The sequence below is a fragment of the Homo sapiens genome, chromosome 12 (genome assembly GCF_000001405.40).
Source record: "Homo sapiens chromosome 12, GRCh38.p14 Primary Assembly".
Lineage (NCBI taxonomy): Eukaryota > Metazoa > Chordata > Mammalia > Primates > Hominidae > Homo > Homo sapiens.
In genome coordinates this window covers 119,955,263-119,973,351 of record NC_000012.12, presented here as the reverse complement: position 1 = coordinate 119,973,351, position 18,089 = coordinate 119,955,263, and the positions used below count along the sequence as shown (strand labels likewise).

Here is an 18,089-nt window from a genome sequence, read left to right as displayed (position 1 = left end):
CCTCCCAAAGTGTTGGGATTACAGGCATGAGCCACCACACCTGGCCCCATCTTAACCATTTTTAGGTGTAGTTCATTAGTTAGGGATATTCATATTGTTGTGCTACCGTCACCAAAATTCATACACAGAACTCTTTTCATATTGCAAAACTGAAATTCTGGCCGGGCGCGGTGACTCACGCCTGTAATCCCAGCATTTTGGGAAGCTGAGGCGGTCGGATCATCTGAGGTCAGGAGTTCGTGACCAGCCTGGCCAACGTGGTGAAACCCTGTTTCTACTAAAAATACAAAAATTAGCCGGGCGTGGTGGTGTGTGCCTGTAGTCTCAGCTACTCGGGAGTCTGAGGCAGGAGAATCACCTGAACCTGGGAGGCGGAGGTTACAATGAGCTGAGATCGTTCCATTGCACTTCAGCCTGGGCAACAAGAGTGAAACTCCATCTCAAAAAAAAAAAAAAAAAAAAAGAAACCTGAAATTCTGTCCCCATTAAACAGTAACTCCCCTTTTCCTTTTCCCTCCAGCCCTGACAACCACCATTCTACTTTCTGTCTCTAGGAATTTGAGTCTAGGTACTTCATATATAAGTGGAATTATACAGTATTTGCCCTTTTGTGACTGGCTTATTTCAATTAGCATAATGTCCTAGAGGTTCAACCATATTGCAGCATATGTCAGAATTTCCTTCCTTTTTAAGACTAAATAGTATTCCATTGTATGTGTATATCGTAGTTTATCAGTTTGTCTGTCATGAACACTTGGGTTGCTTCTACTTCTTTTTTTTTTTTTTTTGAGATGGAGTCTCACTCTGTCACCCAGGCTGGAGTGCAGTGGCGCAATATTGGCTCACTGCAAGCTCCACCTCATGGGTTCACGCCATTCTCCTGCCTCAGCCTCCCGAGTAGCTGGGACTACAGGCACCCACCACCATGCCTGGCTAATTTTTTTGTATTTTTAGTAGAGAGGGGGGTTTCACAGTGTTAGCCAGGATGGTCTCGATCTCCTGACCTCGTGATCCGCCCACCTTGAGCTCCTAAAGTGCTGGGATTACAGGCGTGAGCCACCCGCCCGGCCGCTTCTATGTTTTGACTAGTGTGAACAATACAGCTATGAACATGGGTGTTCAGATATCTCTTGAGTCCTGCTTTCTATTGGTTTTATACTCAGAAGTAGAATAGCCAGATCATATGGTCATTCTACTTTTTCTTTCTTTCTCTTTTGAGACAGGGTCTCACTCTGTCCCTCAGGCTGGACTGCAGTGATGCGATCATATCTCACTACAGCTTCTGCCTCCTGGACTTAAGTGATCCTCCCACCTCAGCCTCCCGAGTGGCTGGGACCACAGGCATGTGCTAGCAAATCAGATTTCATTTTTTTTTTTTTTGAGATGGAGTCTCACTCTGTTGCCCAGGCTGGAGTGCAGTGGCACAATCTTGGTTCACTGCAACCTCCACCTCCCGGGTTCAAGCAATTCTCCTGCCTCAGCCTCCCGAGTAGCTGGGATTACAGGTGCCCACCATCACACCCGGCTAATTTTTTTGTATTTTTATAGAGACGGGGTTTCACTATGTTGGCTAGGCTGGTCTCGAACTCCTGACCTCATGATCCGCCTTCCTCAGCCTCCCAAAGTGCTGGGATTACAAGCGTGAGCCACCACGTCTGGCCCCAAAATCAGATTTCTAAGACTTTCAGACCATGGCCAGGCACATAACAACTACTATATAAATGTTGAATCTTGTTATTGATGACAAATTCTCCAAGGTATTATTACCTTATGAAATCTCTTAATAGGCAAAGTCTGACCTCATAGAGCACATAGGCAAGCTTCTTTTCTGTTGAAATCTGCATAATTCTGTGTGTGTGTGTGTGTGTGTGTGTGTGTGTGTGTGTGTGTGTGTGTGTGGTGGGGGAATGACAGGGTCTCATCATGTAGCCCAGGGTGGCCTCAAACTCCTGGGCTCAAGCAGTCCTCCTACCTCAGGCTCCCAAGTAGCTGAGACTACAGGCACACCACTATGCCCAGCTTGCACAACTTTTTTTTTCTTCTTCTTTTAGACAGGGTCTCACTCTGTTGCCCAGGCTGAAGTGCAGTGGCACAAACGTGGCTCACTGCAGCCTCAACCTCCTGGACTCAAGCAGTTCTCCTGCCTTGGCCTCCCAAATTGCTGGGATTTATAGGCATAAGCCACTGCACCCGGCCCCAGCTTGCATAACTCTTATTCTCAAAGTATAAATAAAATTGTGAAGGATTCATCTGGGCATGGTGGCTCATGCCTGTAATCCCAACACTTTGGGAGGCCGAGGCAGGTGGATCACCTGAGGTTAGGAGTTCGAGACCAGCCTGGCCAACACAGCAAAACCCCATCTCTACTAAAAATACAAAAATTAGCTGGGTGTGTGGCGGGCACCTGTAGTCCAGCGACTTGGGAGGCTGAGGCAGGAGAATCGCTTGAACCTGGGAGGCAGAGGTTGCCGTGAGCCGAGATCATGTCACTGCACTCCAGCCTGGGTGACAGAGTGAGACTCCGTCTCAAAAAAAAAAAAACATTATGAAAGATTTATTTTGGTTGTCTTCTCACCTCTTCTTTTGGTGCCTCTTCCCCTGCTTCCAAGCACGCTACACCCTCCAGATTTTCTACTATGGTGAGACAAATCACCCCCAACCCCAGGTAGTACCCTAAGATCCGGGCTTCCCACAACCCAGTAAAGTTACTGTTTGAGAAATTTATGATGTCAGTAAAGACATTTATGATGTCAATATGAGAAATTTATTGATGTCAATGCAGTCATTACTGATAACGGCTGTGGATTACATATGCATATGTTTTAACCTTCCTAGAAATTTATTGTCAACATCCAAAGCAAAGCTCTTAAGTTGTAGAATTTAATTGACTGAGAGAGGCCAAAAGGGACAAAACTTTTAGGTCATACGAGGCCTGTTTGTTGTCACTTTGTCTGTTGTTTTCTCTATTGTCCCTTTTAAGAATTCTGGGCCAAGGCTGAGCACGGTGGCTCACGCCTGTAATCCCAGCACTTTGGGAGGCCAAGGAGGGCGGATCACCTGAGGTCAGGAGTTCAAGACCAGCCTGGCCAACATGGTGAAATCCCATCTCTACTAAAAATACAAAAATTAGCCAGGCTTGGTGGTGCATGCGTGTAATCCCAACTACTTGGGAGGCTGAGGCAGGAGAATCACTTGAACCCAGCAGGTAGAGGTTGTAGTGAGCTGAGATCTTGCCACTGCACTCCAGCCTGGGAGACAGAGGGAGACTCTGTCTCAAAAAAAAAAAAAAAAAAAAAAAAAAAAAGAAAAGAAAAAGAAATTATAGGCCAATGACAGAAAGAGAATTTTATGCCATTTTCAGGAGTTTGGATGAGACTGGGGAAATTCTGGGGCTAAATTAGGGGATCAGGCATGGGTGATAACCACTATATAAGATATTTCAGGGCTTGGGGGGCAGAAATAATAACATGAAATGAAGCTGATCAAAGCCTGGGACAGGCACTGACTGAATGAATGAAGCTGATCAAAGCCTGGGACAGGCACTGACTGTTTCTACTGGAGCAAAATCAGGCTTGGCCCAGGGGAACCGAAGCAGGGAGCTGGACTAGTCGCCATTTATTTTGTTACTAATTATGTGTTAATACATGACACCAAAACGAGCCAATGGTTCAGAGACTCACAAAATATGGATAAAATTGCTAAATGGAACTTACAAAGAAAATGTGAGTGAATAGGATTATCTAACCTGAGAGAAGTAATAACATACTCTGTTATTTTATAGAAGGTGGTGATCAATTACTCTTTTCTTTTTTTTTTTTTAGATGAAGTCTTGCTCTGTCGCCCAAACTGGAATGCAGTGGCCCAAGCTCGGCTCACTGCAACCTCCACCTCCTGGGTTCAAGCAATTTCCAGCTAATTTTTTGTATTTTTAGTAGAGACAGGGTTTCACCATGTTGGCCAGGCCGGTCTCGAACTCCTGACCTCAAGTGATCCACCTGCTTCAGCCTCCCAAAGTGCTAGGATTACAGGTGTGAGTCACTGTGCCCAGCCTCAATTACTCTTTAATTGCACTGAAGGATTTTATTAAATATCAAAGAACATTCTCTGAAATGCTGGTTGCCAGACACTAGAATTATTATTTATTTTATTTTATTTATTTTTGAGGCAGGGTCTCACTCTGTCATTCAGGCTGGAGTGCAGTGGCACAATCATGGTTCACCACAGCCTTGACCTCCCAGGCTCAGGTGATCCTCCCACTTCAGCCTCCTAAGAAGCTAGGACTACAGGTGCCCACCACCACGCCTGGCTAATTTTTGTATTTTTTGTAGAGACCAGGTTTCACCATGTTGCCCAGGCTGGTCTTGAACTACTGGGTTCAAGCGATCCACCTACCTTGGCATCCCAGAGTGCTGGGATTACAGGCATGAGCCACTAAGCCCAGTCCAGACACTAGAATTATTTACCGACTTTACAGGCTGTGGGCTGCTTTTAAAAATTGGGGTGGTAGGCTCGAATGTGGTTTAAATAGGATGGTTTGGGTGTGGTTCTGATGAACGTCCAGATTTGAATAAATGATACACAAATAAGCTTATCATTCTATTATAATTAACCATAAAAGCAGAATTTAATCTGTGATGACTTAAGCTTATCTGCTATATTGGTAATTTACGTCAACCTGTAGTAACAATATTTACAGAAAGTTCTTGCCTTTAATTTAACACTTAGGTTATTACGGTAACTGGGCTTCTTTGAGATGTCTAAAAATAAATCTGGATAGTTTGTTTCAGTGAGAGGAAGTTTTGAAAGTGAAAAGTGAAGGATACAATTTTATATCAAAGACAGCTGCAACTTCCATGTTAAAAATTACTTTTCTTTTTATACGAATGGAATTTGACTCAAAGGCTAAGATTAAGTCTGCAGGACTCAAGCTAGGTTGTGGAATCTCATTAGACTCTTGTGTAATACAGGTTCCAAATTTGGTGTGACCACAAACTGTTACTATAGGAAACCGACCTTTGACAATTTCCTAAGGAAGGAAGGAGCTTTTTGTTTGTTTGTTTGCTTGTTTGTTTGTTTTTGAGACAGGGTCTCACGCTGTCGCCCAGCCTGTAGTAGTACAGTGGTGAGATCACAGCTCACTGCAGCCTCAACCTCCCAGGCTCAAGCGATCATCCCACCTCAGCTTCCGAGTAGCTGGGGCTACAGGTGCGAGGGGAAGCTTTTCTATTTTGAAGCTACCTGGAGAAGAGTGAAGAGTACATTACTTGTATGGGCCCGGGCTGCCAACCTCACTTGCTTTTTGTTCACTTTTCTCCTGAAGTTCTCCATGACTGGTACCCACTTTTGGGTGGTTGCAAATACAGGAATCAAAGGAGAAAGAGCAGAAAAATTCAATGAGGAAATTGTTTGAGTAGGCTGTCAAATCAGCAGCAACTGTCTCAGTAAGCTAGGAAGCTTTTACAAGATCAGAAACTCAGAAACCTAAATTTTTCAACCTGGCATTTTTTTTTCTTGCTTTTGGTATTTCATTTGTTTATTGGAATATCTTCTTTTGAAAATGACAGATGATCTCACTTTTGCTAAAGGGAATGTTTTAAGTTTGTCCATGGTTAGGCCAATGTTGAAAGGGAGAACTGTGGAGAAAGTCAGAGATGTACTGGGTTTTCTTGTTTGTGTTCCATTATTATTTGCCAATTTCTTTTTCTTACTGAAATGAACCTCAGGCAAATCATCTAAGGTATAGAACCATAATACGAAACTGAGAACAGGTACAGCAGCACATACAATTGCTCTCACAAAAATGGATATCCCAAGAAGATAATTTTACCAAAGTTGGTATCCTACAGCTCACTAAAAATTGAAACCTAACAATGTAACCTTTAGGGTTGACTGATCTTTTCAGAACACATTCTTGAGAGGTCCCGCATAATCATCTAGTATCATTACAAATGCTGGTTAAAAATTAGTCTTTTACCAGCCTCAGCAGCATGGCAAAACTCTGTCTCTACAAAAAATAGAAAAAATTAGCCAGGCATGCTGGTATGTACCTGTAGTTCCAGCTACTTTGGGGACTGAGGTGGGAGGGCTGCTTGAGCTCAGGAGGTTGAGGCTGCAGTGAGCTGCGTTCGTGCCACTGCACTCCAGCCTGGACAGCAAAGTGAGACCCTGTCTCACAAAATAAATTTGTTTTTTAGCTGGCTGGCTAAAAAAGCTGGTGGTTCACTGCTGTAATCCCAGCTATTTGGGAGGCTGAGGCAGGAGGATCACTTGAGGCCAGGAGTTTGAGACGATCCTGGGCAACATAATTAGACTCCTCATCTCAAAAAAAAAAAAAAAGGTAAAAATAATTATCTGGGAGAACTGCCATGCGCCTGTAGACCCAGCTACTCAGGAGGCTGAGGCAGGAGGATTGCATTACTGCACCCTAGCTTGGACGACAGAGTGAGACCCTGTCTCTAAAAAAAATGAGTCTTTTGCGGTATGAAGATCTTTCTGTTATTTATTTTTTAGCCTTCTTCCCAACTACCCATGGTACAATTCTGCTATTTTAGGAAGCATGAATACGATTTTGCCATTAATGTATTCAGTATCAATTATCCACTCGCACATAGCTCTGTGTGGGTGAATTTCCGAGTTAAGAATTTCCTTAAGAAAATGAATTCTAAGGTTTTAAGTTTACTTTGATCACTTTCCCATTCCAGCTGGCTACCTGCAGTGAAGTAAAGCTCAAAAGACCTGACACCTCTTTCAACTTTTGGCTTGAGTCATGCCGATTAGGTTTAACCTTAACAAAAACAGAAGAAATAAACCCTGAAGTGTATGTGTTCTTCCAAATTTATAGATCCTAGACCAGAAGCCTGAGTTATTTTTTAAAAATTCATAAGGAGCACACTTTTCATTTTTCTGCTGTTTGAAATCTGAGGCTGCCTGGGTGCAGTGGCTCACGCCTGTAATCCCAACACTTTGGGAGGCCAAGGCGAGTGGATCACTTGATGTTAGGAGTTCGAAACCAGCCTGGCCAACATGGTAAAACCCCATCCCCACTAAAAATACAAAACTTAGCCAGGTGTGGTGGCGCGGGCCTGTAGTCCTGGCTACTTGGGAGATTGAGGCAGGAGAATCGCTTGAACCCGGGAGGCGGAGCTTGCAGTGACCGGAGATCATGCCACTGCATTCCAGCCTGGGTGACAGAGCAAGACTCTGTCTCAAAAAAAAAAAAAAAAAAAAAAGAAAAGAAAGAAAGAAAAGAAAAAAATCTAAGGCATTGCTTAGTGTAGATCTACAACTGGGCAACAAAATGATGTACGATTAGATTCTTGGCAAAATGTTCTTAACTCTGCCCAACCTCCCCACCCAGCGTTTTTCTCTCCCTTGCCAGCTCCTGTTTTTCCCTCATCACTCCAAAGATACCCTCACTGGCTTCAGTATGATTTAGTGAGCTGGTCTGTCTCTTTTAATGTCTTTGTTTTTTTTGAGATGGAGTCTCGCTCTGTCACCAGGCTGGAGTGCAGTGGCGCGATCTCGGCTCATTGCAACCTCTGACTCCCAGGTTCAAGCAATTCTCTTGCCTCAGCCTCCCGAGTAGCTGGGATTACAGGCATGTGCCACCACGCCTGGCTAATTTTTGTATTTTTAGGAGAGATGGGGTTTCACCATGTTGGCCATGATGGTCTCGATCTCCTGACCTCGTGATCTGCCTGCCTCGGCCTCCCACGGTGCTGGGATTACAGGCATGAGCCACCGAGCCTGGCATTTATTTATTTATCTATTTATTTTGAGACAGGGTCTTGCTCTGTTGCCCAGGCTAGAGTGCAGTGGTGCAATCTCAGCTCACTGCAGCCTGAACCTCCTGGGCTCAAGCAATCCTCCCACTTCAGCCTTTCAAGTAGCCGAGACTACAGGCTCATGCCAACATGCCCAGCTAAGTTTTGTATTTTTCTGTAGAGATGGGGTTTCACTGTGTTGCCCAGACTCATCTTGAACTTCTGGGCTGAAGCGATCCACCAGTCTTGGCCTCCCAAAGTGCTGGGATTACAGGTGCGAGCCACTGTGCCCGGCCTAATGTCTCATTTAATGAGCCTGTCTCTTAGCCTTATTTTCTTTCATCATAAAGGCTGTTTCTCAAAGTCCTGTTTGTAATTAACTAACCTTGGGAGTTGGGATAACAAAAGGTGAAGCAGGTTCCCGCAGCATGTGGGAAATTTCCTTTACGGGTGGTTTCTTTTTCTTTGGTGGAAAAAACAGAAATTATTGGATGGCATATGATGGCTCAAAATTAATCATGAACCAGGTTTTATATTCATCAACCTGACCCAACCAGAGTGTTCGCTTTTTTTGTAGAGACACAGTCTTGTTATGTTGTCCAGGCTGGTTTCGGACTCCTGGCCTTAAGTGATCCTTTTGCCTCAGCCTCCCAAATTGCTGGGATTACAGGTGTGAGCCACTGCGCCTAACCCAGAATGTTCTGATTTATCAGACTTGCCTCTCTATGGAGACAGTAGACAGTTCATCCTCACCTCTATCTGGGCCTAAAAGAAATTAAGCCAATGAGAGATAAGCCCATGTTGGATAAAAACATTGTTGATACAGGCATATCCAAAAGAGTTGAAAGCAGGACCTGGAAGAGATATATACTCATGTTCATAGCAGCATTATTCCCAGTAGCCAAAAGATGGAAGTGAGCCAAGTGTCCCTCGATGGATAAGTGGATATACAAAATGGGGAGATATATATATATATATATATATATATATATATATATATATATATATATATATAAAAGATTCCATCTTAAATATAAGGCAAATTTTAACAAGCTACAATATGGATGAAACTTCATGTCATTATGCTGAGGAAATAAGCCATTCTCAAAAATATTACTATAGCAGGATTCCACTTACACGAGGTATGAAGAGTGGTCAAAATCATAGAGACAGAAAGTAGAATGGCGGTTGCAGGAGTCTGGGGGAAGGGAGAACGGGGAATTCTTGTTAATGGGTGTGGAGTTTCAGATTTGCAAGATGAAAGCACTCTGAAGACTTGCTTCAAAGCAATGTGAATTCACATAACACCACTGAACCGTACGCTTACAAATGGTTAAGATGGGCTGGGCATGGTGGCTCACACCTGTAATCCTAGCACTTTGGGAGGTCGAGGTGGAAGGATTGCTTGAGCCCAGGAGTTCAAGACCAGCCTGAGCAACATAGTGAGACCCTGTCTCTACAAAAAATACAAAAATTACCTGGGCGTGGTGGCTTGTGCCTGTAGTCCCAGCTACTTGGGAGGCTGAAGTGGGAGAATTGCTTGAGCCTGGGTGATTGAGGCTGCAATGAGCTGTGATCATACCACTTCACTCCAGCCTGGGCAATAGGGGGAGACCCTGTCTCAAAAAAGTAAATAAGGCCGGGCGCTGTGGCTCATGCCTGTAATTCCAGCACTTTGGGAGGCCAAGGCGGTTGGATCACTTGAGGTCAGGAGTTCAAGACCAGCCTGGCCAACATGGTGAAACCCCGTTTGGTGAAATCCCAGCTACTCAGGAGGCTGAGGTGGGAAAATCGCTTGAACCTGGGAGTCAGAGGTTGCAGTGAGCCAAGATCATGTCACTGCACCCCAGCCTGGGTGACAGAGCAAGACCCTATCTCAGAAAAAAAGTAAATACATTTTTAAAAATGATTAAGATGGTACATTTTATGTTATGTGTATTTTACCACAATAAAAAAGAAGTCTGGAAAGAGGAGTTGGTGAGGGACAACTCCGATGAGGAGCTGGAGAGGCAAAGAGAGACAAGAATTGAGTCGTGGACACAGATGGGGTTTATTGTGGTTGGCGCCACTCCGATCTCCCCTTTAGGACTGAAGGACTTTTGCCCTAGCCTCTGGGAATGCTGCTGGCAGATGCCACAGTTGCCAGTCTCAGCTGTCAGCCCTTTCTGGAAATTGCCCTTGGCTGAAGAAAGGCATCACACCCAGCATCACATTCAATCTCCCATGGCAGCCTGTATTCAAGGAAAGGCTGAGGCAGAGATAATCAAAGCCTGGTCCTCTTGTCCCAGCAGAGACAGCTCTGATAGATGAGCACAGCTTCAAAGCTCCCTGTGGCATCAGCTGAAATCTAGTTGTGATATATCCCAACTTCTCTTTCTGTCCAATCCTGCTTCCTTCACTTCCCCCACAGATGTTGATGCCGAAAATGCTCCCTAAAAAATGTCCTGCGTGTTAAGCTCTAGAGATGAGAGTCCGAATCATATCACCAGCTAAGACACTAAAGCCAGCAAAGGTAGTAGCTGAGGCTTGGGGAGGCATCTAGAATGGGTAGTGGAGGAAAGGGAGGATGAGTGTGAATTGCAACCTTGAGACCGATCGCAGCAGCAAAGGCTGTGGTTCATCCCAGTAAGCTTCTTTCTCTGAGTTCTTCCTTAGGAAGAGGGGCCCATAGCTGGGTGCGGTGGCTCGTGCCTGTAATCCCAGCACTTAGGGAGGCCGAGGCAGGTGGATCACTTGAGATCAGGAGTTCAAGACCAGCCTGGCCAACATGGTGAAACCTCACCTCTACTAAAAACACAAAAATTAGCCGGGCATGGTGGCGTACACCTATAGTTTCAGCTACTCAGGATGCTGAGGCAGGAGAATCGCTTGAACCCTGGAGGCAGAGGTTGCAGTGAGCTGAGATTGTGCTACTGCACTCCAGCCCAGGTGACAGAGCGAGACTCTGTCTCAAAAAAAAAAAAAAAGGAAGAAGGGCCCACTGGACCCATGGAAGGGAGGGGCTAGTCCCTGAAAGTGTATGGAAACCTGGATCTGTGCACAGCAAGAGGTGGACTCTGGTAGACGCAGACATGGGCTACTCAAATCCTTTAAGGAGGAACTTGCCACCCCGCTGTGGGGAGTGTGGTCAGGAGATGGCCTCCAGCTGGCAGCTCCTTTAGAGTCAGACTCACTTAAGGTCAGACCCTTCCTAGGGCAGCCTGCATCTGGGCTGAAGGATGAGGGCATATAAAGAGATGGCTAGGCTGTGCACAGTGGCTCATGCCTGTAATCCCAGCACTTTGGGAGGCCAAGGTGGGAAGATTGCTTGAGCCCAGGAGTTCAGAACCAGCCTGGGCAACATAATGATATCCTGTCACTACAAAAAGTTTTAAAAATTAGCCGAGTGTGGAGGTGCACGCCTTAGTCCTAGCTACTCAAGAGGCTGAGGTGGGAGGATTGCTTGAACCCCAGAGTTCAAGGCTGCAGTGATCTGTGATCGTGCCACTGCATGCCAGCTTGGGCAACAGAGTGAAACCCTGTCTCAGAAAAACAAAAAAAGTTTAAAAAAAAAAAGAGAGAGAGAGAGAGAGAGAGAGAGATGGCTATCTTGGCCCAGGAGCTTCCTGCTGGGTTGACCAATACTCTGTTAGGCTTGCATTGCAGACTGACTTTTTCCATTCTTTAAACACCTTGCCCCCCAAACTCCTTCTGATTGTCTGTGTCCTGAGACCCCAACCTGCAACACAGGACAGATACTTTAGTTGGTTTTTTTTTTTTTTTGGTTTTGTTTTATTTTGTTTTGCATTACTATCTGAGGAAGCCAAGTTGATATTCTTTTTTTTTTTTTTTTTTTTTTTTGAGACAGAGTCTCACTCTGTCACCCAGGCTGGAGTACAGTGGTATGATCTTGGCTCACTGCAACCTCTGCCTCCCAGGTTTTAGCAACTGTCCTGCCTCAGCCTCCGGAGTAGCTGAGATTACAGGCACATGCTGCCGCACCCGGCTAATTTTTTGTATTTTACTAGAGACAGGGTTTCACCATGTTGCCCAGGCTGGTCTCGAACTCCTGAGCTCAGGCAATCCACCCGCCTTGGCCTCCAAAGCAAGTTGGTATTCTTAACCTATCTCATTGTCTATCACATTGTAGGAGTTCAATAAATGTTGCATAAATAAATCAAATTCAAAAATATTTATTGAGTAACCACTATGTAAAAGGCCATATGCTGGTTAAACAAAAAGAATAAGACATTATATCTTCAATGCGTCTGGCTGCCTGACGCCCTCACAGCTTGCAGTGTGGGGCCATGAACATAGTGGCCATGACGGGAGGGATGGAGACCATGTGTGGATCCAACAACATGGGTCCACCAAGGATGCTCTAGGTTTGCCGTTGCTAAGTATCCAGCTGCTGGCAGGAGGGCTCAATATGGTACCAATCTTCAGAGAGATCAGCATGGCCACCAGGTGGTAGGTCCAGGACATCTGTCTGACCCCTCTCCCCTTGGAGAATTAGAAATTTATCCTTTTAAGCTTTAAATGTATCCTTTAAGCAGGTTTGCCTCCCCTTTCCAAGTGTCTCTACTAGCACCAGCATCTGGTGGACTGCAGATGTCATATAGTGGCATACTATCTGTATTAGTCTGTTCTCACGCTGCTAATAAAAACATACCCAAGATTGGGTGATTTATAAAGGAAAGAGGTTTAATGGACTCACAGTTCCACATGGCTGGGGAGGCTTCACAATCATGATGGAAGGCAAAGGAGGAGCAAAGTCACGTCTTACATGGTGGCAGGCAACAGAGAAAATGTGCAGGGGAACTCCCGTTTATAAAACCATCAGATCAGCCAGGCGCGGTGGCTTATGCCTGTAATCACAGCACTTTGGGAGGCCAAGGTGGACGGATCACCTGAGGTCAGGAGTTCCAGATTAGCCTGGTCAACATGGAGAAACCCTGTCTCTACTAAAAATACACAATTAGCCAGGCATGGTGGTGCATGCCTGTAATCCCAGCTACTCAGGAGGCTGAGGCAGGAGAATCACTTGAACCTGGGAGGTGGAGGTTGCAGTGAGCCGAGATCTCACCACTGCACTCCAGACTGGACAATAGAGCAAGACTCTGTCTCAAAAAAAAAAAAAAAGGCCGGGTGCAGTGGCTCATGCCTGGAATCCCAGCACTTTGGGAGGCTGAAGCAGGTGGATCACCTGAAGACGGGAGTTCGAGACCAGCCTGACCAATATGGAGAAACCCCATCTCTACAAAAAATACAAAAAAAATTAGCCGGCCAGGCCTGGTGGCACATGCCTCTAATCCCAGCTACTTGGGAGGCTGAGGCAGGAGAATTGCTTGAACCCAGGAGGCAGAGGTTGTGGTGAGCCGAGATTGTGCCATTGCACTCCAGCCTGGGCAACAAGAGCAAAACTCTGTCTCAAAAAATAAAAATGAAAATAAAAACAAACAAAACCATCATATCTCATGAGACTTACTACCATGAGAACAGTGTGGGGGAAACTGCCCTCATGATTCAATTATTTCCACCTGCCCCCACCCTTGACACTTGGGGATTATTATAATTCAAGGTGAGATTTGGGTGGGAACACAGCCAAACCATATCACTATCACACACAATCTTGGGAACCAAGAGACCCCTTTTACAGCAAAGAAAGTGTGGTGTGATGTGATAAGGGGCCTATGGCCATGGGCTTCACTAGTCTTAACCATGTACCTATCACTCAGAAATAACTGGTCTGATAGAATAATGGGATGGCCTATTGTATTAACTGTATGTTTCTGATTTTTTTTTTTTTACAAGAGCACAAATCCACTTTTATTTATTTAGTTTTCATTAGTTTAAATATTTGAAGGGTACAGCATCACATGGATTCCATGTCTAGTGGCTTTAGCAGGAAGTTTGCTTTGGAATTTGGCACAAACCACGCCACTGTTTCCATAGGTCTGAGTTACCTTTCCCCAGATTACTCTGGTTTGGTTCGGTTTGCCACCAGGAGTCACTGTGTTATTCTTTGCTTTGTATAAATAAGCAGACCTCTTGCCCAAACAGAATTCAGTTTCATCTTGGGCATAAACATCTTCAATTTTAAGGAGAGCTGTGTGCTCCCTTTGGTTCCAGAGACCCTGCTTATAGCCAGCAAAAATGGCCTTAGGACCACAGCCTTCCAGACATATTTGCCTTTTAGAAGTCCTGTTCCCAGGTGGGGCACAGTGGCTCACGCCTATAACCCCAGCACTTTGGGAAGCTGAGGTGGGCAGATCACCTGAGGTCAGGAGTTCGAGACCAGCCTGACCAACATGGAGAAACCCCGTGTCTACTAAAAATACAAAAATTAGCTGAGCGTGGTGGTGCTCGCCTGTAGTCCCAGGTACTTGGGAACCTGAGGCAGGAGAATCGCTTGAACCCGGGGAGGTGGAGGTTGCAATGAGCCGAGATTGTGCCACTGCACTCCAGCCTGGGTGACAGAGTGAGACTGTCTCAAAAAAAAAAAAAAAGATTGAGTCACTCTGGTTCAAATGCCTCTGACACTGGTGCTTCCCCTATGTGGCCATGTGGCCATGTATGGCCTGGTGTGCCCCCTCCTCTTGGGCCTAGTGAGACACTATCTTTTCAATGTCAATTGCCTCCTATATTGGCCTCACCGTATTTGCATAATAATAAAATCTACATTTAATAGCATCTGTTGAAGGCCCAATTAATGTGCTGGAGAAGTATATCTTGCAGGATAGGTGCTATCTTTTTTTTTTGACACAGAGTCTCACTCTGTCACCCAGGCTAGAGTACAGTGGTGGGATCTTGGCTTACTGCAACTTCTGCCTCCCGGCCTCAAACGATTCTCATGCCTAAGCCTCCTGAGTAGCTGGGATTGCAGGCGTGCGCCACCACACCCGGCTGATTTTTGTATTTTTAGTAAAGACGGGGTTTCACCATGTTAGCCAACCTGGTCTCAAACTCCTGGCCTCAAGTGATCTCCCTGCCTTGGCTTCCCAACGTGTTGGGATTACAGGCGTGAGCCAATGCACCCAGCTATGGGCTATCTTGAAGGATGTGGCTTATTCCTTGAGCTAACAAGTAATATACTATACTATGCCTCTCTAGTTAGTATATTGGGGTTGGGAAACAGGGGCTGACCTTTCTCACAATTGCACCCAGTGACCCACTTGCAGATTTTGTGCTTCTCATCCCTGTAACCTTGGGCTCTGTAGGATAAGAGTTTCTAATTTCTGGAAGAACTCTTAGGCCTGGGGACACAGTAAGCATTCCATTGAATTGGATGCTGCGACTATATAGTACTTAGTTTGAGTTCCTCGTATTATTGAAGTGACAAGCAGAGAAGGGAGTTACTGCACTGCCTGGGATAATCATTTCTGATTGTTCTGGGGAATTAAGGTAGCTGCTTCACAACAGGGGCAGGAGACAAAATGTCTGGAACCCAGAAGATTCACTAGTGTATCATTTGATATTTTCATGCTTGGGATGACTGTTAATGGGCAGTTACAACAACTGTGAGCTCGCAAGGGTTCCTAAACACCTATACTCCTTGGGGATGAATGTCTGGGTAACCCCAACTGGGTCATGGAAGACAGAGATGATAAATTTCAATTATGAAACACTTTTGCAAAAATTATAGCAGTGAGAAAATTGTGACAGTGAAAGAGATCTGATCTAACCAACCCCCATCTTGCCTTTAACCTCTGAACTGACCTTAATCATTCCTGGGATTGGGTCAAGCTAACTTTGGGAGACATTTAGTTTATTGTTTACATGGCAATTGCCCTTCTCTCAAACTAAACCACTTTGTAAAGCTAATGAAAGACCGCTAGAATAGGCGCATGAGGGGAGCCTGACTTCTGCTAAGATCTAGGTGTAAATGATTGCTGGCCATTATTCCAGAGGTCACAAGATTTGCCACTTCCCCAATGACTCCTGCAGATAACCTCACTATTGTAGAACCTAAGATTGTCCTTTTGAGATGTCTTTTCAGGTTTTTGCATTTCTGGCAACAAATGGTTCCACCCAGACCTGCCAATGGGTCATGCGGCCGCACCCAGAAGTGGACTCAGCATGCACAAGGACCATTTTCCACACCCCTATGATTGCATCCCCAACTAATCAGTAGTATCCATTCCCTGGCCAACCAAACTATCCTTGAAAAGTCAACCCCCAAATCTTTGGAGAGATTGATTTGAGTAGTAAAACTCTAGTCTCTCATTCAGCTGGCTCTGTGCGAATTAAACTCTTTCTCTATTGCAATTCCCCTGTATTGATAAATTGGCTCTATTTGGGCAGAAGGTAAAATGAACCCATTGAGTGGTTACAATTGTGGCCCTAGAACTAGCTATAGCAGTAGAGACTGTGTATCAATTTCCTCTTGGTGCTATAACAAATTATCATAACTTAATGGCTTAAAACAATGCACATTAATTTTCTTCTAGTTCTATAGTCCAGAAGTTCAACATGGATTTCACTGGACTAAAATCAAGGTGCCACTAGGGCTGTATTTCTTTTTGGAGGCTCTAGTGGAGAATCCGTTTCCTTGCCTTTTCCAGCTTCCAAAGGCTGCCCCCATCCCTTGGCTAGTGGCCCCTTCTCCATCTGCAAAGCCAGCAATGAAGCATCACTCTGGCCCTTCTGTTGTCATGTCTGTCTCTGAACACAGCTGGGAAAGATTCTCTGATTTTAGGGACGAATGTGATTAGATTGGGCCCACCTGGATAATTCAGAATATTCTTCCCTGGGTGCAGTGGCTTATGCCTGTAATCCCAGCACTTTGGGAGGCTAAGGTGGGCAAATCACCTGAGATCAGGAGTTCGAGACTAGCCTGACCAACATGGAGAAACCCTGTCTCTACTAAAAATACAAAATTAGCTGGGCATGGTGGCGCATGCCTGTAATCCCAGCAACTCAGGAGGCTGAGGCAGGAGAATCACTTGAACCCGGGAGGCAGAGTTTGCAGTGAGCTGAGATCGCACCAGTGCACTCCAGCCTGGCCAACAAGGGCGAGACTCTGTCAAAAAAAAAAAAAGAAAAAAAGAAAGAACTCTTCCCAGATTCCGTCGATTATCTTCTTTCTTCTCTACTAGTCAGCACCCTATCCACACTGAATTACCTCTCTACTTCTGGATTTGTAATGCCACGCCATTGGAATTTGCCAGCCTGGATGGCTGCAAGGTGCTAGGTTACACAACCAAAGAGTATAGGGGAGTTAGTTTCCCCAGGGATGAATCTTGGCCACTGAGAAATGGAAGATAGGAGAGAGCTAAGCAAATACATTCCTTCTCCTTTCTCACTTGTGAGGATCTGTTCCTAGATGTGGCTCCTCCTCGTGGTCTCTCTGGAAAAGACTATGCACCAAGCAAACAAGGCTGGTGAGTAACCTGCTGTGCAGGATTGGGATTGGTGGCCAGTACGGCAATATTATACGACCAACAGGCTCATGTGCCTGATGTACAGTAACATACTAATTACACTGAGACAGTAGGGCTTGCAGCAGAGAAAGAGTGTAATGGTTGCAGGGCAGCCAAGGAAGGAGATGAAAGGAGACAGTCAAATCCATCTCCTCAAGGAGTTCTGGGCTGGGGTTTTTAAGGGGATCATGGAATTTGGGGTCATTGATCAGGGTAAGGGGGATAAAATCATCAGTACATGGAAACTGAATTCTTTTGTGACTCAGTTCCATTGGGGTCCTTCAGTACAGCTGATGTTAGTAATTTCACTGGTATGCAGAACCTGAAAGAATATCTCAAAGGGAAAACTTAACATTTCATCATGTTCAAGTTGTTACCTGTAGAGCAGTTAAGGGGAACTATAATTTTTTTTGTTTGTTTTGAGACAGAGTCTCGCTCTGTTGGCCAGGCTGGAGTGCAGTGGCACGATCTTGGCTCATTGCAACCTCTGCCTCCCAGGCTCAAGTAATTCTCCTGCCTCAGCCTCCCGAGTAGCTGGGATTACAGGTGTGCACCACCACTCCTGGCTAATTTTTTTATTTTTAGTGGAGACGGGATTTCACCATGTTGGCCAGGCTGGTCTCAAAATCCTGACCTCAGGTAATCCACCCACCTCGGCCTCCTAAAGTGCTGGGATTACAGGCATGAGTCACCGTGCCCAGCTGGGAACTATAATCTTTTAACTGGGTATATACGATTCTAGGACAATAGGAGACAAACAGCTATGAGGAAGCAGGTCAGAGACCAAGCTACCTAATGATTAGTGCTGAGTGTGCTGCAAACTTGGTTTATTTTCATCTCTCCTTCTCTCTCCCTGAATAAATCTTTTTTTTTTTTTTAATTGAGACAGAGTCTCGCTCTGTTGCCCAGGCTGGAGTGCAGTGGA

At 45.2% G+C, this 18,089-nt stretch overlaps 1 long non-coding RNA gene and 1 pseudogene across 2 annotated transcripts in view, besides 1 other annotated feature; both read right to left on the bottom strand.

Moving 5' to 3' along the window:
* Positions 1 to 18,089, bottom strand: part of LOC112268087 (uncharacterized) — a 35,807-nt gene that overhangs the window by 1,846 nt on the left and 15,872 nt on the right. The window lies entirely within an intron of this gene.
* Positions 8,859 to 9,158: an enhancer, noted in NCBI's record as "active region_7119". NCBI's record gives its function as "activates an Ori minimal core promoter by ATAC-STARR-seq in GM12878 lymphoblastoid cells {active_cell/tissue: GM12878}" and the evidence as "EXISTENCE:reporter gene assay evidence [ECO:0000049][PMID:35858748]".
* RPL35AP30 (ribosomal protein L35a pseudogene 30) lies at positions 13,595 to 13,928 on the bottom strand (annotated as a pseudogene).